At 48.5% G+C, this 25,779-nt stretch overlaps 1 protein-coding gene across 14 annotated transcripts in view, besides 1 other annotated feature; it reads right to left on the reverse strand.

The window, feature by feature from the left end:
- Positions 1 to 25,779, reverse strand: part of ADAMTS17 (ADAM metallopeptidase with thrombospondin type 1 motif 17) — a 370,539-nt gene that overhangs the window by 264,180 nt on the left and 80,580 nt on the right. For 9 of the 14 annotated variants that reach the window (XR_001751118.2, XR_001751120.2, XR_001751119.2 and 6 more), the window contains exons 7-8: positions 18,520 to 18,563; positions 6 to 137 (exon numbers count right to left, since the gene is read on the reverse strand). Coding sequence is in view for 10 of the 14 variants with exons in the window: in XM_017021975.2 (XP_016877464.1) it covers positions 6 to 137; positions 18,520 to 18,563 (176 nt within the window). In the remaining 4 variants the exon portion in view is untranslated. Of the gene's footprint in view, positions 1 to 5; positions 138 to 18,519; positions 18,564 to 25,779 lie in introns of those variants that run through there. The other 5 variants (NM_139057.4, XM_005254872.4, XM_011521312.3 and 2 more) reach the window with 1 other exon arrangement.
- Positions 5,482 to 6,681: an enhancer, noted in NCBI's record as "MED14-independent group 3 enhancer chr15:100781303-100782502 (GRCh37/hg19 assembly coordinates)". NCBI's record gives its function as "activates an origin of replication core promoter dependent on BRD2, BRD4, P300/CBP and CDK7 cofactors, and independent of MED14, by STARR-seq in HCT116 cells {active_cell/tissue: HCT116}" and the evidence as "EXISTENCE:reporter gene assay evidence [ECO:0000049][PMID:35650434]".

Below are 25,779 nucleotides of genomic sequence, written 5' to 3' on the forward strand. Positions count from 1 at the left end.
CATACCTTCCCAGGTTTTGCTGATGCTGTGGTCTGGGATCACCCTTTGAGAACCATTCGCTTCGGGGAGCTCTCTTCCCAAACACCACCACGGAGGACTTCCAGGGCCCTCTCTGACATCAAAAGGTGCTGGGGGCACTGAAACAAGAACAACACAGCCAATGATGATGGGGCATTTATTATGAGTTCTGGGCCCTTTACCTCATTCTATTACCTTCAATCCACAGATCAGGAAATGGAAACATGAGGACAAGTAAATTGCCCAGGCTGTACTCAAGGTAGCAGAGCTGGGATCTGAACCAGGCAGAGGCCAGGCTCAAAACCACAACTCCTCCTGCCTCTCTTAAATACCAACATCAAGTTTATGGAAAATCTGATGAGGTGGCTGAACATTTGGGGTAAATTCGATTCCTTGCATGACAGTCAATATCCTAATGATCACAGACATCCACAGTCACCAGTGACTCAATTACCATCTCTAATTTGGGTCAGACGCCAGAGTCGCACAGACTCAGAGCAAGAGAACACAGGAAGTAACTCGGAAATTTCCATCATCACTGCTTTTTGTAAAAAAAGTAAATGTCTACGATATTTGCACAAGTAATCATGAAATGACAGTAAACATTACATTGAGAGAGGTGCCCTATATTCATGTCACCCACGACATTAAAAAAAAAAAAAAAAACCCTAACAAGAGAAGACCCCCAGCCACAATAAGGCAGGGCTTCTCAGAGTGTGGTCCCCACACCAGCACCACCAGCATCCATAGCCCTGCCCAGGCCCACCGAATGCAAACATCTGGGGTGAGGTCCAGCCGGCTATGTTTAAAGGAGTCCTCCATGTGATCCAGAGGCATGTAAATCTACAGAGCCCTCTTACTAACACTGAACAGCTAACATGGACCCTCTTTAAATCTTTACAAAAAACAAACAAACAAACAAAAAAACGGCAGTAGCTCACTCCTGTAATCCCAGCAGCTTGGGAGGCTGAGACAGGAGGATCACTAGAGGCCAGGAGGTTGAGACCAGCCTGGGAAACGCTGTAAGACCTTGTTTCTACATAAAATAAAAACATTAGCTGGGCATAGTGGTGCGTGCCTCTTGTCCCAGCTACTCAGGAGGCTGAAGTGGGAGGATTGCTTGAGCCCAGGAGGTCGAGGCTGCAGTGAGCTATGACTGCACCACTGCACTCCAGTCTGGGCAACAGAGTGAGACTCCTGACTCTAAAGAAAAAGAAAGAAATACCAACTACTTGTTCCATGCTCCCTCTCCTCTGCCCCCAAAACAGAGCCAGGAATGGGTCTGTCACAGGAGGGAACTCTACGGCTGAATCCCATGGTTCCCAGCTTCAATTCTCCTCTCATCTCTGCACAACATGAGATCAGCTCACTTGGAGTAGCTCCCACGATCCTCAGACTCCAATCTGAAGCTGCAAGCCAAATTCCTCAGGCCCCCACAACCCTGCCCCTGCAACATCTTACCCTTTCAGCACAAGCCTAACTGGGGTGTCGGGCCAGCCAGGTTCCTCCCAGCTCCACCATCGTGTCACTATGCAGCCCGGTGAGGAGCCCAGCCTCAGCACCTTCATCTGTGAACTGGCGCCTACAGGAGGCGACTCCATGTGAGGGCCGAGGTCTGAGGACGGCACCAGGCAAGCAGGAGGCTCTCCCTCAGTAAGCCTCAGGCCCCTGGGCTTCTGCTCTTTGCTTTAACTGCTTTTGGGGTCTCACTTCCCTGCCTTTACCTACATTAGGACTCACCCCTGGGAAGCCTCAGCCCTGCCCTGGCTGAGCAGCTCTGTCCTGGCACCCTCCCTAGGAGATCCACACGACGACAGGAAGAGGGTGGCTGGGCATGATGTCCTGGGGCAGGCTGAGCAGACACAAGGACAAGCTTCACAGAGCAGGCATTGTGCAGGAGGGACTCGATGGGCAAGCCTCACAGCAGTCCCGTGGGGAAGACACTGCTGTCTCAATACACAAGTAGGGAAAGGAGGAACGCTGAGGTTTTTTGTTTTTGTTTTTTTTGAGACAGAGTCTCGCTCTGTCACCCAGGCTGGAGTGCAATGGTGCAATCTCAGCTCAGTGCAACCTCCGCCTCCCAGGTTCAAGCAATTCTCCTGTCTCCGCCTCCCAAGTAGCTGGAATTATAGGCACATGCCACCACGCCTGGCCAATTTTTATATTTTTAGTAGAGACAGGGTTTCACGATGTTGGCCAGGCTGGTCTCAAACTCCTGACCTCAGGTGATCCACCCACCTCGGTCTCCCAAAGTGCTGGGATTACAGGTGTGAGCCCACTGTGCCCGGCCAACACTAAGTCTCTTAAGTGACTTGCCCAAGGTCAAGGAAATGGCAGAAGAAAGACTCAAATCCAGGTCTGATTAGGAGCCCTGCAAAAAAGAAGCAAAGACGGAGTGGGCCCAAGGGTACCCAGCTTGCTCCCACTGTGGGACAGCCACTCACCCTGCTGTCCATGGTGGGGACCCTGCCTTTGCTCACAGAAATTAATAGTGTTGGCATAGGCAACCTCAACACTTCTAATGGCCCTGGCCTGCAAACGGGTTGCACATGAGTGTAATGTCCAAATGTCACCTTCTCAGCAAAGCCTTTGGCCACTCCAGGTAAAATTTCAGGTCCCAGCCCCTCCACTTCCCACCCTTCTTATCTGCTTTCCATGTTCCCTTTATCGCCAGCCTCCATCCACACTCTAGAGTGTACTTACTGACTTCACATGAGTTGCATCCCCTCCAGTAAAACATCACCCCACAAGAGCAACGGCCTTTGTTTGGTGCCTTGAGTGTCCCCAGGGCTGGAGCCGGGCCTGGCACACAGTAGGCACTCAATAGAGTTTTACTGAGTATGAATGACGGAAAAGCAGAATGTCGGTGAGGACAAAGATCCGTCCTGAACACAGAATCTGTGATGGACACAGCAAAGGAGAAAACACAGGGTAAAAGCAACGATGGGAATTTAATACCTGCCAAGAACAAAATGAATGGGCACAGGTCTGGCAGACAAGACCAGAGTTAAGCCCTCAGGCTTTGCTGTGAGATAGTTTGATCCCAGCTCTGTCACTCGCGAGTGGCATAATTTCAGACAAGAAATGTATTCTTTTAGAGCCTCAGTTTCCCCATCTGCTCACAGGAATAATGACGCCTCACTTAAAATGCTATCGAAAAGCGAGAAAGGCAGGGCGTGGTGGCTCACACCTGTAATTCCAGCACTTTGGGAGGCCCAGGAGGGCAGAATACTTGAGGTCAGGAGTTCAAGACCAGCCTGGCCAACCTGAAACAGGTGAAACCCTGTTTCTACTAAAAATACAAAAGTTAGCCAGGCGTAGTGGCGTGTGCCTGTAACCCCAGGTACTCGGGAGACTGAGATGGGAGAATCACTTGAACCAGGAGATGGAGCTTGCAGTGAGCCGAGATCACGCCACTGCACTCCAGCCTGGGCAACAGAGCGAGACTCCGTCTCAAAAAAGAAAACGAAATGTGAGAAAGGAAAGACTGTAACCCAACCGCCTGGGGTCAGAGCCTAGCTTGGCTGCTTACAAGCTGTGTGCCTTCGGGCAAGACATCTCCCTCTCTGCACCTCGGTTTTCCCACATGCAGAATGGAGAGAACAGCAGCAGCTCCCGCACACTGTTGTGCAGATTAAATGACCCAAGACCATGACGTTCTCAGCAGATGGTAGCTGTTCTCAGTCTCACTTTCATCACTCCTGCAAGCACGGGATGAGGAGCGGCGCTGGTTGTGGTCTTTCCTACCTGTCAATAATGACTGGTGCAGGGATACCGCAGTCGACCCTGCTGAAAGCAACGCTCTTCAGCTCTCCAAGGCTAAGGGAAAAGAAGGTGCAGATCTCGGCACCGCTCCCAGGCCTGTGAGATGCTGGACTGTGTGGATGCCCCTGAGCGGGGCAGCAGCAAGAAGAGGCTACCCTTTGTGGAAGCAATGAGAAGGGGGTCTCTCTCCAGCGTTGCAGGAGGAAGTGTTGGAGACGGGCTCTGGAGCCACAGAGGCTGCCTCCTGCCATGCTTTGACGTCTAATGAGCCACCAGGCTCCCCTAGCTGCCTGGTGCTACTGGAGCACAGTCCAGGGCACTTCAGAGAGAAGGGACATGGTGTGGCCAGGAGGAAGGTGGACATGGACACATGCCACTCCTATGCAGTTGATTTGACGAAGAAGTCAGGTGGGAATTCCATCAGGGCCTTACAACCCCTGGAGTGGAGGGATGGTGAGCCCTCTGGGGAAAGATGTGCGCCACGCCCCACCTTCAGGATCACCCTCCACCCTCAGCCAGTGAAGGAGGAGGTGGTCTCCAGGTGAAAACCTTTACCTGATGTCCTGCTACCAGATGTCTGTCTCTCCCCCAGTCACAGCAAAGCCAGAATGTGCCCAACCCCAACAATCCAGGCTGTGCGGCAGATCAGTGAGCCTGCTCCACGTGTACCGGGATCAGCATGGGGGGATCCAATCATCACTGTACTCATTCCTGTAACCAGCTGCTGCTCAGGAGGGGCCCTGGGCCCCACCTCAAGCCTAAGGCTAGCTCTGGGCCCTTAATGGAGACTGGGAAGCTGCTGGTCAGCACCCAGACTGCCACCAGAGACCAGAGCTGCAGGCACCTTTCCAATCCCCAGGCCTAAGTGACTCCTGTTCTCAAGGAGCAGCAATCTCTCTGCTGCTTCTTCCTCCTCAGCCCCAGATGCCTTCAGCAACGTCAGGAATGTGTTCCAAGACCATAGCAAAGGCTGGAGGGTAGCAACATATGCCACTGTGGCCGAAGGATTATTTTGAGCTGAAAGCAATGGAGAAGAAGCAGGTACAAGAAAGCTTTGTCCTCCCACTCTCTGCCAAAGAGCAAGACATGAATTTGTAAAGGTGCTCCCCCCTCACTCCTCTACCAGGAAGAACAGAAGTTAATCACTGGAGAGAACCCCAGACCCTCATCAGTCCAGAGGGCACCCGAGGAATCTACATGACAAACTCAAGTAATGAGCCTTCATCTTCCAGCAGTTCCCCCACAGCTGACCTTCCCACAATCTGCCACCCAGAACTCAGTCCTTTTCTTTCATCTTGTCACTTCTAAGAATGTATTATTCTTTGTCAAGACGCGGTATAAGGCCAAGTTCTAATCACCCCTCTGTGTTCCTCATTGCTGAGAGCTCCCAGCTTATACTCAACTTCTGTTTGTTTTTCTCTTGTTAATCTGGCTTTTCTTTTTTGAGACAGAGTCTCGCTCTGTTGCCCAAGCTGGAGTGCAGTGACAGGATCTCAGCTCACTGCAACCTCCGCCTCCCGGGTTCAAGCGATTCTCCTGCCTCAACCTCCTGAGTAGCTGGGATTACAGGTGCCCGCCACCAAGCCCACCTATTTTTTGTATTTTTAGTAGAGATGGTGTTTCACCATGTTGGTCAGGCTGGTCTCGAACTCCTGACCTTGTGATCCATCCACATTGGTCTCCCAAAGTGCTGGGATTACAGAAGTGAGCCCCTACACCTGGCCTATCTGGCTTTTTTTGGTGTTGCTGTCAGTCTTATTTTCAGGGTCCTGGCCAATGAATCTAATATGGGTGGAGTAAAAAGTTAAATTTTCTTCCCCTACAACTCCAAGACTACTTTTTAATTCTTCAGTAAAAATCACTCAAGATTCTGGCTCTACCCCTCATTCCACCACACCCTGGCAGGTCACCTGCCAAAGTTGTTCTGTAAGCCTGAACGTAGAGATAGGGCCACTGTCCTCTTAGTCCCCACAGGGATGGAAGTCTTCAACGCTTTGAGACCTCGAAGTATTTCAAGGGCAGGATCTTGTAGAAACACACACTAGCACTTCTGATTGTTGCGGTAATTTCTTTAGCAAACAAAGCCTCAAATCTCAGTGTCTCAACACACTTTACTTCTCACTCATGTAACATCCAATGTTTCAGGGGCCATGGCTGCCAGTTCTGTGGACAACCTCAGCCAGTCGGCCAACGGAGAAAGAGCCCCTAGGTGCCATTCATGGATGCTGGGCCAGGCCTAGAAATAGCTCGTATCACTTCCACCCCATTCCACCAGGCAGAGGGCAGTCACTTGGCCCTCAGCCCTTTCCTAACCTTGACTCAGCTCACCTAACCATGACTCAGCCTTTCCTAACCATGATTCAGTTCTTGTCTAACCATGACTCAGCCCTTTTCTATATGTCAATCAAGCTCCCTCTCAGCACAACAGCACTTGTCAGGAATTTCTAATCCAAGTCGTCTATGCTAGTAACTCCGAAGGTTGCTTAAACTGAAGTCCTAAATAGTAGCCAGGCCCAGATTCGGTCTCTGGTAGAGCAGCCCAAAAGATCGCCCTGACATAACCTTCCTTCCCGTTCCTGAAGCACTTACGCTGCATATCTGTAGAAATTGAGGTTAAAAACTCAGAGCCAACCTGAGATTTCACAAGGGAGGGTTTAAGGTTCTTCAAATTAACGAACTCACAAAGAGCACAGGAGCCTGGGGGACTGCCTGAAACACGCAAGCTACAAACAAACATTCTCCCTCAAATTGCAGTTCTGACTCCGGAGGGTCACTCGCATCCTGCCCTTGTGGTTAATTCCAAGTGCTGCAATGGCTTCGGCATGACTGACCTTGCTCTTTACACCGTGAGTCCAGCGGCCGAGCAGTCACTGGGAAAACGAACTCTTGGCTCAACTCTAAAGCGGTGATTTTAATGCCAGATGCAAATGAGGACTGTCCGTTGTCCAAAAACATCAGTGGTAACTTGAGTAAGTCTCAGTGCCCACATGGTCCAATCTGGCCCTGGAGTTTAAGCCAAAGATGCATAGCCTAGCAACCAAAAAAGAAACTTGCAAAGGCACCCTAATCTCTACTGGCATGTCCTTAAGAACATTTCAAAGGGCTCTAATTCACTCCCTGGTGACACTTCTTAACATGCCCCCTCCTCTCTCCATCCTCTCCCACACACTGCAGCCTCTCCCATCCTAGGCGGTACCTCTCCTCCCCGTCCTGCACACACCACCCTCAAACCCTGCACTATTTGTGTCTCATCACTCCTCCCTCACCTCCCAGGGGAGAAGGCAGGAGGAGCTCCTTTGCTGGGCATTGTCCTTCTCCCATCCTGATCATTTTTCTTGGACAAAATCTCAAAGAAGTGCTAGAAAATAAAATTCACAACACTGCTCCCTCTGTCATCTTACTTCTTTAAAAAAATTATGTAAAGTATACATAACATAAAATGTACCATTTTACCTATTTTAAGTGTACGGTTCCGTGGCATTAAGTACCTTCACACTGTTGTACAACCATCACCACCGTCCACCTACAGAACTTTTCATCTTCCTCAACTAAAAAACTCTGCCCATTAAACACAAATTCCCCATGACCGCGTTCCTCAGCTCCTGGCAACTGCCATCCTGCTTTCTGTCTCCATGAATCTGACCACTTTAGGTGCCTCAAGTGAGTGGCTTCATTCACTATTCATCCTTTTGTGACTGGCTTATTTCATTCGGCATAATGTCCTCAAGGTTCATCCATATTATAGCATGTGTCACTATCTCCTTCCTTTTGAAGGCTGAGTAATACTCCACTGTGTGGATAGACCACATTTTTGTTTATCCACTCACCCCTCTATCAACACCTGGGATGTTTCCATATCCTGGCTATTGTAAATAGTGCTGCTATGAAGATGGATGTACAAATATCTGAGTCCCTGCTTTCAATTCTTTTGGGAGTGTATCAAGAAGTAGAGTTCCTGAATCATATTTTTTAATTTTTTGAGAAACTACCATACTGTTTTCCATAGCAGATGCACCATTTTGCATTCTCACCAGCAGTGCACAAGGGTTCCCATCTCTCTACATCCTCGCCAACATTTGTTATTTCTGGTTTTGAAAGTGGTCATTCTGGCTGGGTGCCATGGCTCACGCCAGTAATCCTAATACTTTGGGAGGCCAAGGAGGGTGGATCACCTGAGGTCAGGAGTTCCAGACCAGTGTGGCCAACACGGTCAAACACTATCTCTACTAAAAATACAAAAATTAGCCAGGCGTAATGGCGCATGCCTGTAATCCCAGCTACGTGGGAGGCTGAGGCAGGAGAACTGCTGGAACCCGGGAGGCAGAGGTTGTAGTGAGCGGAGATCCTGCCACTGCACTCCAGCCTGGGTGACAGAGCAAGACTCCATCTTAAAAAAAAAAAAAAGAAAGAAAAGAAAAAGAAATGAAATGAAACAAAACAAAATGAAAGTGGTCATCCTAATGAGTGTGATTAGTCATCCGCTTTAACCCTCACAACAACCCTAGATACTATTATCCCCATTTTCCAGATGAGAAAACAGAGCAGGGGATATTAGGTAAGTGTATCAGTCTATTCTCACACTGCTAATAAAGACATACCAGAGTCTGGGTATAAAGGAAAAGAGGTTTAATGGACTCACAGTTCCACATGGCTGAGGAGGCCTCACAGTCATGGCGGAAGGCAAAGGGGAGAAAAGTCACATCTTACATGGTGGCAGGCCAGAGAGAGCTTCTGCAGGGGAACTCCTCTTTATGAAACTATCAGATCTCATGAGACTTATTCCCTATCACCAGAACAGCACAGGAAAGACCTGCCCCCATAATTCAATTACCTCCCACCAGGTCCCTCCCATGACACGTGGGAATTATTGGAGCTAGATGAGATTTGGGTGGGGACACAGCCAAACCGTATCAGTAAGTCACTCAACGACAGTGGTGGACAAGCAAGATTCGAATGCAGGTTTAACTGCAGAGCCAATCTTGTCCACCACTGTCCTTGAGTGACTTACTGATACAGTTTGGCTGTGTCCCCACCCAAATCTCATCTAGCTCCAATAATTATCACGTGTCATGGGAGGGACCTGGTGGGAGGTAAATGAATTATGGGGGCAGTTCTTTCCTGTGCTGTTCTGGTGATAGCGAATAAGTCTCATGAGATCGGATGGTTTCATAAAGAAGAGTCATGCCTGTCCCCGCTTCTCATGGGTGGCACCTGGTGATGGGCTCAGCCTTCATCATGGAGAGGAAGGGCCCCTGCAGGTGGTAAACAGGACCTTGAGGGCCACTGTACAGGGAGCCCTTCCCTGGCTCTCAGCCTGCGATTTCCTCGGCTTGTTCCAACCGGAGCAGGACCCTTGTTTCAATGGCACTGGCTACAGATGGTACCTGCTCTCCTTGCCTCTCCTGCACCGCCGAGTGCAGGCTGTTTATGAACAGGCAGCACACAGGGTCTAAGAGCTCCTCAGGACTCACAGTGACAGAGGAAGCATCACTTCAAGGCCTAGTTTCCATTTATGATTCTACTCCCCCTCGTGTTTTCGGGGAGGGCTTTGTTGGTTTGTTTCTAACAAACCCAATAAAGGGTCAGGCTGACTCCGAATTGCATGACTAGAGTAAGAGCCGCACTGTAAGGCAATGGAGCATGCAACTGCATTCCAAGCTTGCCATGAGGCGTTCCTTGGCCATGAGGAACAGAAACACCGAGAGAACAAGAGACACTCCTTCTACTCTTGTCACACTGAAGCTGTGGAAGAATGACAGGGCAGTGGGCTTTGGACTGACACCAGTGTCACCAATATCTTGTGCAGGTTTGCAGCTGCCAACCTGGAAGGGAGGTCTGTTTCAGAATCCCCTCGCAGGCAGGGGCCTGGGAAAATACTCACCAGCCACCTCAAGGAAGGACACTCTTACAGGACACTTACTTTCCCAGTCAGAACAATGAAGGGGGCTCTGGGCCTGCATTTGAAAGGTCACGGCTGGAAACCCTGCAAGGGGAGCTGCTTTGCTTGCTCAGCCCTCTTGCTTTCCAGCCCAAAAGGCATTCATGCACAGCCCTGTGTTTTGTTGGTCTCTGTCTAGTTCCAAAGTAAATGTTGGTTCTACATCTCCAAAGGGCTGGTAGAAGCCCATCCCATGCAAAAACATACCTACATATTTTCACCATTTTCTAATGTATTTCAGCCATTATGTAACCTTAGACACAACCCTGGCAGGAAGAACAAGAAAAGTTGAACTTGGTCCCCTGGGGCAACTGGTTTCAGTGTGGACTTCCAGCCAAGTCTCAAACACAAACCTCCTGCAGTGGGATCTTATTTTGTTGTTCCCAGGGCAGACAGATCTTCTTGGAAGGATCTAACAAGCGCTGGTAGAGAACTTACAGATTTTGTAGGCATAGATGGAGCCTCGCCAGGCCTTAAGGTATGGGAAGCACACACACTGCACACTTCCATGGGTGTGCATGCACCCCAGGCATGCATGAGCGTAAAGGTGTGTGTGTACGTGTGTACATATGTGTCTGGTATTTGTGTGTAGGTAAGACACATGCATCACTTACATGTTTATTCACCCCAGTCACTATCTCTAAGTGGTGCACAGAGCAAGCACACAGAGGTCAAGGCAGGAATGTTCTCGGGATCGCCAGTCCTCGTCCTCTTCTGTTCTCTTAGGCATAACAGCTCCTACACACAGTCTTTCGCAGACGCTCTCCAACGATCAGACACAACCTAATTGGCATTCCGGAGGAAATACTCTACGGATGCTTAAAGCTAAACCTGTGAGAAAGGGAACTAGTTTCCTAAAGCCTCCACTTTTTTGTTTTCCAGGCAACTCAATCAGCCGAGAAATCCAAGCTGAATTTGTGGGATACGAAGCCCTAAAATGAATAGCATGCGACTTTCCTAAGTCTTTTAAGCAGATGGTCTATTTTTTAATACTATGATGAAAATGAACCTTGCCAAAAATTTCTTCACTCTTGATGGCTAGATGTAAGCATACTTGATTCCCAAAATTGAAACCTTTCATAAAACCTCTCAAAAAGCAAAGAACATGGTCAAAAGCATAATTATAAATACCAAGGTAGCCTCCGACAAACAGATGAATTTGCTAAAGACTGCAAGTTGTCTAATTTGGAACAACGAATATGTAATTAAGCCTTCCCCTTTGTAACCTTCTCAGAGTAGACACCAACGACATAGTGTGGATAAGCCCAGAACAGGGCCCAAAAGTGAGATGGGTCCTAGGTAAGGACAAAGCCACTTCAGAACTTACTCATTTGAAGGAGTCATTTGCCCTCGTAGGCAATGTCTGGAGACTACACTTTTTTTTTATTGTATTTTATCCATTCCATAGCCATATTTCATCATAGCTTTAATTTTGCATTTTGCTACAGGCTAGTGATATTATTTTTTCATAAGTTTATTTGCCATCCATGTATATGTAAAGTATCTGTTCAAGTGGTTTGCCCTTTTATTTTTATTTATTTATTTATTTATTTATTTATTTTTTGAGACAATGTCTCTCTCTGTCGCCCAGGCTGGAGTGCAATGGCACAATCTCGGCTCACTGCAACCTCCATCTCCCAGGTTCAAGCGATTCTCCTGCCTCAGCCTTCCGAGTAGCTGGGATTACAGACACCCACCACCACACCCGGATAATTTTTTGTATTTTTTTTGTAGGGACAGGGTTTTGCCATGTTGGCCGGGCTAGTCTCGAACTCCTGACCTCAAGTGATCCACCCACCTCGGCCTCCCAAAGTGCTGAGATTACTGGCATGAACCACCACACCTGGCCTGAAGACTATACTTCTAACACACAGTCTGGAAGCACAGTTGAAATTTGCCTTCTGTCAGCTTACAAGGAATAACAATACAGTGGAACAAACAGATAGGAGAGCCCCAAGAAGCAAAGAAACCCAAGAGCTGGTCTAGCCAGTAAAACTTGATTTGTATCTTTGTATCTCAAACACGACTTGCCAGCCTCACCCAGCAAAGAACACTTTTGACACCGCTTTTTGACAACCCAAAACCACCCTCACAGAATGAAGACATACCAACACCACTGTAACACAGAAAACGCTGGCTCACTTGTGACGGAAATTCCCCAGAGGGCTCTACACACCAACCAGTGAGGACGCCAGGGCTGGGATAAGTGAAGAGTCACAGGGTGACCAATGTGGAAGGGACGAAGCACAGTCAGACGGGCCCGTTTTCATATGTTTGTGTTTATGCATAAAAAGTGGCATTTCTTTCTTACCTAACTGATGACATCACAGGGTTCACAGCTTCTCTTCCTCTTTGACACATTCAATTAATAAAAACTCAACAGGTCCAGCACACAACACCGTCCATTACCCACACCCACTCCCCCTCACCTCTTGCCAGTTCCCCAGCTCCTCTTGGTTTCATGGCCTCATGGTGGGCTGGCCTGACACAGATTTCCAAAACCGATGCTTTGTTCCCAAACACCACCGTCCTGGCCAGCAATATCCCCCACCCGCACTTCCTCCACCCACACGCTCTTCCTCACACCGGAAGGGCAGTGGGCACGTCTACCAAGCTCCCCTCAGGCCACCCAAACCTATCAGAGACTGTGGTATCAGTGCCAGGGGTGACGCAAGGAGGGGGTCCTTCTCCCCAAGTTCAGGGAAAGCCATGGGACCCTCAAGCCACAGCCGCTGGGCCCCAGCGCACAGACCAGACTCCAAGCTCCTCCACAGCATCAACCCGGCCTTCAGCCTGCAACGGTGGAACATCTCCACTTCCTCCTGTAGGATCACCCCTCTCCCTCACTGGACAACGAAAAGGGAGGCCCTTCCATTAATTAAAAAATAGTAGGAGACCAAGCAAAGGGCAAAAAGAAGACTAGCTTGATTTAGGCTGGCACAAAAACCACCGTAGCTCAATTTGGAGGCACGGGTAGGAGAAAACCAATGCTCCACATCCACTGAGCAACACTCAGACACCTGCCTAGCCAGCCAGGCTTGGAGAGAAGCGGCTGCTGTCTTCAGCCACTGCCAGAGAGAGGCCCAGAGGGTATGCATCTGGAAGAGGAACGCAAAGGGCAGGCACGACCTCACCTCTGCCAAGTCCCCATCTTGTCACCTCCCTCTTCTCACCCAGGACAGCACCTATGTCACAACAGTGGCTGGAAAGCAGACAGCTCTGGATGAAGAATTCAACAGAGGAAATGTGCACACCCCACAAAGAGGTCTGACATGTGCAGAGTGGGGGCCACTCAGTGAGGGGATGGTGGCTTGTTCCAGATCCTCCTGCCTTACAGTGACTTCCTCCAACGTGGAGATCAGAATTCCCAAGGGGGTCATCCTTGCTATCCTTCCCATTCCAGCGAAGCCTAAGAAGTCCATATCGGTGCCAGGAGGGAAGGAGGAAGGGTCCTTCTGGTGTTAATTTTTTTTTTTTTTTTGAGACAGTCTCACTCTGTTGCCCAGGCTGGAGTGCAGTGGTGCGATCTCGGCTCACTGCAACCTCCACTTCCCAGGTTCTAATGATTGTCCTGTCGCAGCCTCCTGAGTAGCTGGCATTACAGGTGCCCGCCACCACGCCTGGCTAATTTTTGTATTTTTAGTAGAGACAGAGTTTCACCATGTTGATCAGGCTGGTCTCAAATTCTTGACCTCACGTGATCCGCCCACCTCGGCCTCCCAAAGTGATGGGATTACAGGCGTCAGCCACCACGCCTGGACCTGGTGTGACTTTTTGAAAGCATGCCCATTCATCTGCTCACTCAAATCCACCCAGTACAGAGGAGTGTGGTGAGGCCTCTGCACTGCAGGGCTCAGGAGAATCAGGGCCTTGGAAACGCCAACTTTGCCTACACCACTAGCACCCCTGTGAAGCCTAGAGATGCAAGCCTTGTGTTTCAATCTTCACCCGAAAGATCTGAAGGGTGCAGTGGGCATTGGTCATCTTGGGCTGTCTGGCATTCATCCTCCCGCCTGGCTGAAGCACAGTGATCCCCTTTGGGAAGCTTTACCCTCAACATGCATTCTTCGTGGGAGGTGCTGTTGCCTCTCCTATGGAAGCCCAAAGGCCAGAATCTCCCTCACTCCAGTGCAGGTGGGGTGGGGAGGGGCAGACCACAGGACCCTGGGCTGTTGGGGGGAGATGGAGGTCACTCCCCAGCCGTGGTGGCACATGGACCAGACAGGCCTTGCCACTAACTTCTATGTGATGTCAGTGGCCTCCCCACTTCCAGAGCTCCCCCAGGTGCTGCCTGTGTTCCAAGCCAGTCTCCCAGCCTGGCGGCAGCCCCCTTCCAGTAGGTGCCCTTGGCTCATTCCTCACAATCAGAAATGCAGACTGGGCAGTGGAGACAAATGGGCTGATGCAGAGGAGAGTATTTTTACGGAAGCCCCAAACCTCGCAGCGCCTCAGAGTTTATTCCAATGCTTCATTCAAACTGAGATCTGAAATCTATTTTAAACTATTTTAAAAACACTCATTAAAACACTTAACAATAACAGGTTACCCTGGGGGGACTACTGAGGGTGGGGGTTAGGCCATAAGGAACTGGAGGGCTGATCGCCTTCTTCACCTCAATCTGAGTTATGGTTTCAAGAGTAGAGGGATGGGACTGCACAGCTGTGTGGAAGTACTGGATGCCACTGAATTGCACACTTAAAAATGCTTCTGGTGGCAAATGTTATGTGTATTTTACCACAGTATAAAAAAGCACGATTTAAAACAGAACTCAAGATATTGCTTTAAAATGATTTCAATAAATACCAGATTGAGCCAAAAAAGATGAGTATAAGCATAAATTAAAAATCCATCAAGTTTTGCCCTCTTTACATATATGTGAGCTGCACCCTAATTAAAACAACAACAAAAAAACGCTGTTATATACCAAATTACACAACACTGGCAACCCAAAGCTTTCCTAGTTATCTCGAGGTACCAGACAGCTCCTTTCCTACAGAACTCAAGACACAGCATCTCACGCTCGAGCTGGATCCTGAGGTTTCAAGGCAGCTGTTCAAAATCTCTTAGCATTGGCAAGCATGCATCTACATGACTCAGATTATTTTTCCATTCTGCGCAATCAAAACAAAATTTGAAAAATAAACTGATATTGGGATGAGAAAATCATAAAGATGGAATACAGATAAATGGGTGCCAGTGGTTAGGGAAGGGGAGGGTGGCAGGGAGTGGCTCTCAAGAGGCAGTCCGAGGGGGCATCTCAGCCGCCGTGGACTTCTGTTCCTGATTGTCATGGTGGATGGACAAAGCTGCCCATGTAATAAGATGTCACAGAACTTTATACAAAAGCATACCAACAAATGAGTGCATGCAGAAACCAGTGAAGCCTGATTAAGAGCTGTAGTCTAGTTCACTCTATCGGGTCCGTCCATTTCCTGGTTCTGAGAGGGTACTGCAGTTATGTCAGATGTTACCACTGGACAAAGCTGGGTGATAGGTACAACAGACCTCTCTGTACTCTTTTGGCAATGATCATGACTGTATAATTACTCAAAATAAAAATATTTTAAAGTCCATAAATAAATTGGATGCTGAGATCAATATACGACTGCCATAACCCCAGTTTTTATATTTTTCTGTTCATCGAATCATCCCATTGTTCTGACTGGCTTAATCATTTGTACAAGCAAAATATGACACGTTAAGAGAAACATATACTAATAAAACACCATATACGTTTAATTTTTTTAAAAAAGAAAAAAAGGCATCAGCTCCCTTGGAGAAGCTGAAAATCACTGAGGTATTAGAAAGAACACGTACTGGGGATCAGGAGATAGGCTGGTTCTGCCCTCAGCTAACCAGCTGTCACGTGAAGAACAGTGACTCCACCCAGTCCCGACCATTAAAAGACTTTCTTGTTAAGGAAGTGAGACGCATGCACCTGGGAGGGGATATGAGGACATAAGATGCTCCCTAGTAACATGTGACAAAGTATCAAATGAGCGGTGCTATGGATTGACTTGTGTCCCCACAAAATTCTTATGTAGAAACCCTAACTCCCAATGTGACTATAGGTAGAGAGAGGACCTTCAAAAAGCTAATTAAGGTTGGCCGGGCGCAGTGGCTCATGCCTGTAATCCCAGCACTCTGGGAGGCCGAGGCGGATGGATCATGAGATCAGCAGATCGAGACCATCCTGGCTAACATGGTGAAAACCCATCTCTACTAAAAATACAAAAAATTAGCCAGGCTTGGTGGCAGGCACCTGTAGTCCCAGCTACTCAGGAGGCTGAGGCAGGAGAATGGCAGAACCCGGGAGCCAGAACCCGGGAGGCAGAGGTTGCAGTGAGCCCAGATCGTGCCACTGCACTCCAGCCTGGGCGACAGAGCGAGACTCTACCTCAACAACAAAAAAAGCTAATTAAGGTTATGTGAGGTCACAGAGTAGGGGCTCTAGGCCAGTATGACTGGCGTCCTTTATAAGGAGGAGAGAGAACAGGCAGGTGCGCACACAGAGGAAAGGCCACAAGAGGACACAGGAGAAGGCAGCCAGCTACGGCCAAGAGGAGAGGCCCTCAGGAGAGGCAAAGTCTGCCGACACCTGGATCTAGGACTTCCAGCCTCCGGATCTGTGAGACAACACATTTCTGTTGTTAAAGCCACTCAGTTTGTGTGGCATTTTGTTATGGCGCCCGAGCAAACCAATAAAAAGTAGTATGATGATGTGGCTTAGGAAATGAGATGATGCTTGATTCGAAGTAGCTGCCTGCTCTTCACCAGGGGCCTGAACACAGGATATAATCACAATTAATGGCATATTCCCATCAAAAGAGAAAGCTTTTATATATTCAAAAGAAACGGAAAGCTAGCCATAAATCCTATGGAAGAAAACCACACCACTGGATACATTGTTTTAATGAACACTGGCATTGGAGTCCCTTCACCTGCATTCATTCATTCATTCATTCATTCAGTTCTTCATTTAATCAACCAACCAACAGGAGTGACCAAACCTCTCAATCCAGTGCCAGGTGCTGAAGGACACACAGCCTGGAGGCCAGAGCTGGGCTCTGTTTTGCTCAGGGGCTGCCAGGGGAGAAGTACAGGCAAGCGCCACACGATTGAGAGATTATGTCTCCACGGGGCAAGCCAGGAAGCAGGAGGAGCACGGAGCAGAGGCGCCCCGGACATGGGTACTGTGGCCAAGCCTGACCCGTGAACCCCAGGAAAGAGCAGCCACTCCTAGAAACAGCACATGCCTGGCAGCCCTGTTGACAGACAGAGGTCAGCCGGTACAAGTATCCATGGCCCCAACCTGACCTGGGCCTGGGTCAGCCAGCACTCCAGGGAAGCATCCTTCACACGGCCTTTGTCTAGCAATTCCCTCATGGAGACAGCCCCCAAATAACAAAGCAGGAGGAGTTGGCTGGTTGCTTCTTGACATCTCGCTCTCAGATCTGGTTAGAGGACCGATGAAGTGTAATATATTAAAAATCATTTTGTAAACTCTAAAATGTGACATGAATGGTAGCTATCATTATATTAGATTTTGAAGGGTCTTGTGAGTCACCTAACCCAAAGTGATCATTTGATGGATTAAGAAACCAGAGTGGAGACACATCCAAGGCCACCCAGCTGGCACGTGGCAGAGCCAGAACAAAGGCTTAGGGCTACTCACTGCTGGGGCTCCCCCAGAAGCTCAGGTTTTCAACATGTGAATTTCATAACAGTATATATTTTTCACACCTATACTGTTTTCTTCGATTTTACTACAATTCTAAACATACACGATTCACAATTTTGATTCTGGCAATGCAATACTATATTTCAGCCTCCCGATGAACAAAGGTTCGCGTTATGGCAGGGAAAACTGGAAACACCCTTGGCATTGTGCCTGTATTAACCAAACACTGTGTGCAAAGAATGGTTTCCATTTGAAATCCATGAGAACTCAAGAGCAAACCAGACATAACTGAGGACGGGAGAGAAAGGAAAATGGCAGGTGAAGGGGAAGGTGAGGGAGGGGAAGGTAGAGGGGGAGGGGAAGGTAGAGGGGGAGGGGAAGGTAGAGGGGGAGGGGAAGGTAGAGGGGGAGGGGAAGGTAGAGGGGGAGGGGAAGGTAGAGGGGGAGGGGAAGGTAGAGGGGGAGGGGAACGTAGAGGGGGAGGGGAAGGTAGAGGGGGGAGGGGAAGATAAGGGAGGGGAAGGGAAGATGAGGGAGGGAAAGGGAGAGGAGGAGGGGACGGTGAAGAAGGAAAGGGTGTTTTCTCAGCACTGCATGCCACTTTCAGTGCTGTCTTTAGTCACTAAAAAGCAAGTAGCCTGGCACCAAGGCAGGTGGAAGAGATTGCATGTCTTATAATCTACAGTCACACTTCACCCCTTAGGGTAAAGCTCAATAAAGGTCATGTGCATGCATGAGAACAAACTGCTAAGCTTTCATCTCATGACCACAACTGTGTAACTTAGCAGGCTGCCTCTCCTGCCTGGGTGACCAAAATGCTCAGAGCCAAATGCACCCCCAACTGCAGACCCCTTGGAACGGCCTGGTGGCTTTTCCCCTTGGTGTCACTCTTCATAGCTTCCTTAATGACCCTTCATCTAGATGCCTTCTGCCATCAATAACTTCAAATCATTTCAGGAAAATAAAAAAAGGAAAGTCAAAGACCAACTTACAGGAAGGAAGGCAACAGAATGTGCAGTGCTTGTTTGAGGACAGCTCCTCCACTGTGACCAGGAAGTCTCCAGATTCTCCCAGGGTGTATCAGCCCCTTAGATTATTATTTCAACTCTAAACTTACCAACAGTGTCACACGGTTCATCCTTGTGTACACAGAAATCTGTCCTAAAAAATAAAAAAGCCATCATCAGGTATATGCAGTATCCCCAAGAATGGGAGAAGAAAACACTGTGAATTAACCTCAAGTAGTCATCCTGCAATGTTATTTTTCCAGTGGACACAGGCCACAGCGAATGATAACAAACAGCAGCGTTTGGCAACAGTAATCCATCCACATTTCCCGGGGTAGGTCCACTTACCCCACATGAGAACCTTCTTTTACAGATGAACTATTCTATACGTAACAGTTGCTGGAAGGACTCCTTTCAGCAGCTGAAAATGTTTTGGAAGATGTTTGCCAAGTCACTGATCCGAGACAATTCTCAGACAATAGCATCCAACTGCAGTGGCCTCCCCAAGCTACTCTACTTCCCCAAGCTACTCTATTTGGGCAGCAACTGGTTTTTGATGCTGTAATGACCATGTATTGCTTTCACAAGAAGACAACAAAAAGTCATTTCTAAAAACTGTATTCCTCTACTATGCAGCCATAAAAAGGAATGAGATCATGTTCTTTGCAGGGACATGGATGGAGCTGGAGCCTATTATCCTCAGAAAACTAATGCAGAAACAGAAAAGCAAACACCACATGTCCTCACTTGTAAGTGGGAGCTGAATGATGAGAACACATGGACACATGGTGGGGAACAACACACACCAGGGCCAGCCGGGGGAGGCGGGGTGAAGGAGAGGGACAGCATGAGGAAGAATAGCTAACGGATGCTGGGCTTAATACCTAGGTGACGGGTTGATCTGTGCTACAAACCACCATGGCACATGTTTACCTATGTAATGAACCTGCACATCCTGCACATGTGCCCCAGAACTTAAAAGGTGAAGGAAAAAAAAAAACTGTCTTCCTTAAAGCTCCCCAGGATCCCCTGGGTGGGTGGTATCTGTGGACCAGTGAGACAGCAAAGATGCTTGAAACCTGGTCCAGCCCTGGTTCTGCAAGTACAAGGGGTTCATCTGGCCTGCTGTGGGGAAACCAGGGGTCTAGGCTCTTCTTTTCTAATACTGGATCATTCCTATGCTTCTTTATAAGTTTCCATGGTCAGGGATCAACCACAGAGGGTTGGCTGGGGCAGGACTCAGCCGGCTGAGGAGCCACAACCTGGCCCAGACACGGCCCCTCCCAGGCCCCACACCCATCTTCTCTCAGGGCCCAAAGAACGCTTGAGATCCACACTTTTCATAACCTCACTCCAAAACCAAGGTAACCTTCAGGGAAATGGAGAAGGAATATCATAAAGAGATGAAAAGGCCTAGAGACTTGATTTTTCCATCAGACTCCCTTTTAGAAGATGAAGCAATAGGCGATAGAAGCAGCACTGGCAGAGGGGAAAGCAAATAAAATTAGAGCCATGGGTGTGCTCACTGGCCCCATACCTACCTAGCCCCAGCCCAACATTCAGCACCCTTCCCAATTCTCGTGTTTTGAGCAACACACACACACACACACACACACAGCTGGCCCAGGACCTTGCTCCAGGGTTTCTCAGAGTTGTGAACAGGACATATTTAAAGCTTTGCCCCATCATCTAAGCTGGGCAAAGGGAGAAAGGGACCAAGGCCTCAGTCTGACAGAAGAGAAGTGAAGCCGCAGGCCAAGGCAGGCGCCATTTTGCAGAGAGCCAGCCCTGTTGGCTGAGGAGGACTCCACCTCCCTGCGTTCTCCCATCCAATGGCTGCCCTGAGGGGAAACAGTCAGTCTCAAATGACAGACCCCGAGGTACCACCCACTGCTTCACTGGAGGAAGAGGTGTGTTCAGCTCAGGGAGGGAGAGCCACACTCAGTTAGAGGCCTGTCTTGAAAAGGTCAGCCGAATCTGAATCTCGATCCTTCCTGTTCAAGGTCCTTTCTCAGAAGAGAAGCAGCAAGCCACCTGCCTGCAGGGGCTGCTTTATCTCCAGGGAACCTGGCTCTGTTCCATTCATTATCAGGGGCACTCACTTTTTAGGTCATCCCACTGCCAACTCATGACAAACCCCCAGGCAGGGACTGTAGGGTTCACTTCAGGAATGAAAAGAGGGCTAGACTTGGCTCCCAGCGCCTACATCCATTGAAACCCCAAGGTGCGTTCCTCGAGGCTGACTTGGATCTGCATGACAGGGCTGGCTTTGTGGGTGTCTGACCCATGCCCTGGGCTAACACTCTGCTGTCGCGGGGTCCATATTTTCATTTTGCATGGGGCACCACAAGTTACACAGCTGATCCTGTGCGTAACTCACAGCCAGGCATACAGTTGGGACTTAATACATTCGTTTATTAATTGACTGACGTTTCCAGACCCTTTCAAGGGGCCCTGCAAGCTACCCAGCAGCCATGGCCTCACGAGCGTGGGAAGCCTGGGAGCGTAACATCAAGTTCCATGGATACTTGCTGAGGCTTCACCACGCGCAAAGCCTGGCAAGAGGGTCCCCTGGCAGAAGGTAAAGGGAAGGGTGCCCCGAGGAGTTAGATGGTATTATGCTGGAGGGGAAGGTCTGGCCAGAGGGATCCTGGTGGTGCAGCTTCGGGCCAGCTGTGTCTGCTATGGTGTCTCCCAGGCACTCTCACCCAGAGCACAGGCCCAGGCTCGAGGAGGAGTTCTCGACTTCAGGGAGGAGTTCTCTGCGTTCTCAGCTTTCTGGGTCAGATGTGGAGGCCAAGGTGAAGCCCCCCCAGGTGCTGAAGCCCCCTAAGCCCTGGCTTCTGTGTGGGCTCCGTGTGACCCCAGGCCCAGTCCACTCAGGGGTCCTTCCAAGTCCCAGACACAGCTGCAGAAAACCCAGCTTCAACCGCTTCTGGCTCAGCAGCTCCTGCTAGACATGTCATGCTCACGTCCTCCATGGCAGCCACCTAGCCACCTGTTTGTCAGGGAACGTCTTGGAGAATACACTGTCCGGCTTGACCACAGCCTGGAAGGTGAAAAAAGAACCTTAAACGGGAGGAAATTCTCACGTTGGCCCGTCCTAGCTCAGGACCTGGAAGCTGGCCCCTGAGCGCAGCCAGGCCCGTGCAGCCTCAGCTCGGGTTACGGTGGGAGGAAAGGACAGTTTCTCCAGGGCAGAAGCTGCCTCTCACCCAATCTCCCTGTGAAAACATCAGCCCATTATTATCCCAACCTAGGGAATTGCAGCTCTCTACCTCTAGTTATTATACAAGGCTTCCTGGCCAACTCAGCTTCCTGCCCGACTCCACTGCGGCCTCCCCCGTCCTTCAAGGAGATCTTCAATTTAACATCTGCGAGGACCCAGAAGACGGGACGTGCACTGATCTGTTCAGTCCAGCAGCTCCACAGCAGCAGGTGAGAGGGACTGTGATTGCTCATGTAGCTTCAAGGCGTCAGCCCAAAATGCAGAAGAAAGCTCAGGCTCCCGGGCTGGCAACAGCTAATAGCTATGCAAGACGCCAAATGCATCCTTCATCCAGAGCCCAGCAGCCTGTGGCTGACAAAACCTTGTTTTCTCTGTACCTGGATGAGGACATTGCCCATGCCCCCAGCATCCTCATCCAGAACCACTCCCATGCAATTAGGATCCCTCTCCTATGTGTTTAGTTAAAACAGAACATTTTTACTACTAATTTTTTTATTGTGCTAATACATGAACATAAAATTTACTATCTTAACCATTGAGTGTAAAGCTCAGTAATGTTAACTAAATTCACTGTCATGCAACCATCACCGCTATCCACCTCCAAAACCTTTCCATCACCCCACACCGAAACTCTGTACCCATGAAATAACAACTCCCCATTCTCCCTTCTCCCCAGCCTCTGACAACCACCATTCTTTATCTCTACGAATCTGACTACTGTAGGTACCTCACATAAGTGGAATCACGCAGTATTTGTCCTTGAGGTTCATCCATGTTGTAGCGCGTGTCACAATCTCCTTCCTTTTTAAGGCTGAGTAATATTCCCTTGTACATATACAGCATATCTGTTTACCCATTCATCCATCAATGGACATATAGGTCACTCCCACCTCTTGGCTGTCATGAATAATGTTGCTGTGAACATGAGTGTTCAAATATCAGAGTCTCTGCTTTCAATTATCTTGAATTTCAGTTCTTCTGGGTTCAGAAGTGGGATCACGTGGTAACTCTAGTTTTGAGTTTTTGAGGTACCATCATCTGGTTTTCTATTGTGGCTGTACCATTTTACATTCCCATCGATGGTGCACAGAAGAGTTCAAATTTCTCCACAGTCTTCCAACACTTGTTATTTTCCATTGTTTTGCGTATTAGTCCATTTTCACACCACTGATAAAGACATACTCAAGACTGGGAAATTTACAGAAGAAAGAGGTTTAATGCACTTATAGTTCCACATGGCTGGGGAGGCCTCACAATCATGGTGGAAGGCGAAAGGCACGTCTCACATGGCAGCAGGCAGGGGAAGAGAGCTTGTGCAGGGAAACACCCCCTTATATAATCAGATCTTGTGAGACTTCTTCACGATCCCGAGAACAGCACAAGAAAGACCTGCCCCCACGATTCTATTGGTCCCTCCCACAACATGTGGGAATTCAAGATGAGATTTGGGTGGGGACACAGCAAAACCGTATCATTTTGTTTTACAGTAGCCATTGTAAAAAGTTTGAGGTATAGAAAAGAAGATTTTTACAGAAAATATTTCCTTTGTGGTAAGTTAGGAGGGTGAAAAATGAAAAGAAAGTCTAACTCATAGCATCTTTGCATTGAGGGTGCGTCATGACTGCTGATGTCTCCTTGTAAAAGGGCTAATACAGACGTCCTGTCAACAGTCATCTTGGTGACATTTATTGCCTCTGGAAAAAAAATGCCATTCATCCCCAAATGCAGACCACTTACAAGTGCTTTCTCCACTCAATGAAACAGCAGGAAAGAGAGAAAACTTTTTCCAATGTAGGGAAAATTACCATAAGCCATTAATTATTTCTTAGCAAAACACCAGAAACTATAGATTTTCCACAGTATTTATGAAAACTCTTCTCAAAGTAGAAACCTTGGGAGTTTAGCTGCATATTCCACAGATGACGTTGTTTAGAGTTCCTCTCTAGGAAAGTCTTTCAGACCAAATATAATTACCATTTGGAAAATCAGCTCCATTTACTTATGATCATGCACAGACACGGTTCCCAAGGACTCTTGCTTGCTCCCTAAATCGAATCCACTCTCAAATCATGGTACCCTTAACCTGAATGCTGCGGCACCCAGGGTATTCTACAGAAAGCCTCACAGTCGCCAAATGCCATTGCAAAGTGCCTTGAGCAACAGCGGCCTCTGGCCAGTGAGTGTGGGCAGCCACTGCTCTTGGGGAGGGCGGTGCCTGAAGGCTCCCAGTGCTCACTGGAGTGGGCAAGTCCAGGTCAAAAGCATGGGCCAGGTCATGTTCATCCCTTGGTCCCTGGTGCCTGCTACTACATCAGCCATGTCATAGACGATCAGAATTATTAGACAGACTTTTTCTAAAATGTCTCTTCAATAACTGATTGTCTATGATAGAGCTTATATATGGATTATATATTTAATCATATCCTGTAGAAGCAGCAAGTGTTCTCCTAAGGGATTGGCACGCTACAAAGCACACTGTGAAATGTGTAACAAAGCATACTCAGGGCTGGCAATCGACGAACCATCCACAAGAGTGAGCAGGCATCCATTTGGCAATGGGTGGTGGCATTGTGTCTATTCTAGGATTTTGGTTTTTGTTTTTCTTTTGAGACAGAGTTTCACTCTTGTCACCCAGGCTGGAGTGCAATGGCATGATCTCAGTTCACTGTAACCTCTGCCTCCCCGGTTCAAGCAATTCTCCTGCCTCAGCCTCCCAAGTAGCTGGGATTACAAGTGTGCACCACCACGCCCAGCTAATTTTTCTATTTTTAGTAGAGACGGGGTTTCATAATGTTGGCCAAGCTGGTCTCGAACTCCTGACCTCAGGTGATCCGCCCGCCTCAGCCTCCCAAAGTGCTGGGATTACAGGCATGAGCCATCGCTCCCGGCTTATTCTGGGATTTTTGAAAGGAACGAAAGCTGCACTGTCCGGTGTCTGGGGCTGGGGTCACAGAACTTCCCCAGATGACTGAGACGTCATGGGGCTCAGAGTTTGCAGCACATGGCCTGAGAAATGCAACCAAAAGCCTTTCTTGACTCAAAACCAAATGTTAAGTGAGATTTAACTCTTTGTGGATGGCCAGGCGTGGTGGCTCACACCTGTAATCCTAGCATTTTGGGAGGCCAAGGCGGGCAGATTACCTGAGGTCAGGGGTTCCAGACCAGCCTGGCCAATGTGGTGAAACCCCATCTCTACTAAAAATACAAAAATTAGCCAGGTGTGGTGGCACACGCCTGTAATCCCAGCTACTCAGGAGGCTGAGGCAGGAGAATCACTTGAACCCAGGACGCAGAGGTTGCAGTGAGCCAGGATTGCGTCATACTGCACTTGAGCCTGGGCAACAGAGGAGACTCCATCTCAAAAAAAAAAAAACCAAAAAACAAAAAACAAAACAAAACAAAAAACCTTTTTGTGGAGAAACAAACTGTCCCCAAGCTAAAGATACGATAAAGTTCTCCCTTCCACAACTTTACTTCCAAATTCACAGAGTTGGAAAAGCAAGCACGCAATTTGGGAAGTAGTTTCTTTAAATTAAAAAAAGTCATTAAAATTCAAAGTTGACATATTCTTAGCAACTCTAATAAAAAGCTGGTATTTTTAATCTAATGCATTAAGTTATTTAGGAATATTTCTGTGTATTTTATAAAGGGAGAGTTTTGGTATGAACATGTAACACATTTTGTTTAAGTTATTAAAGTAAAGCAACCAAAGAAAAATCAGTGTTCTCAAAGAGGGTTGAAAACATAAGAAAAAAATGATATAGCCACATCGACATCAATGACATACAACAGTTGTATCCCCCAAAAAAGAAATGTCCAAGTCCTGACCCTCAGTACCTGTGAATGTGACCCTATGTGGAAAAAGGGTCACTGCAGGTAGAATCAAGGTAAGATGTGGTCACACTGGAGTAAGGTGAGCCCAAATCCCATGACTGTTATATTTATAGGAAGAGGGAAGTCTGGACAGAGTCACAGGCAGGGAAAATGCCATGTGACAATGGAGGAGGGACAAAGAGGGACACAGCTACATGCCCAGGCATCGTACCTACCTCAGAGGTGGATACCACCGTTAACCCCCACTTACTAATGAGGAAACCAAAACCCAGACAGGTGGCCCAAGGTCTGATTTCCAAGCCTGAGT

The sequence above is a fragment of the Homo sapiens genome, chromosome 15 (assembly GCF_000001405.40).
Source record: "Homo sapiens chromosome 15, GRCh38.p14 Primary Assembly".
NCBI lineage: Eukaryota > Metazoa > Chordata > Mammalia > Primates > Hominidae > Homo > Homo sapiens.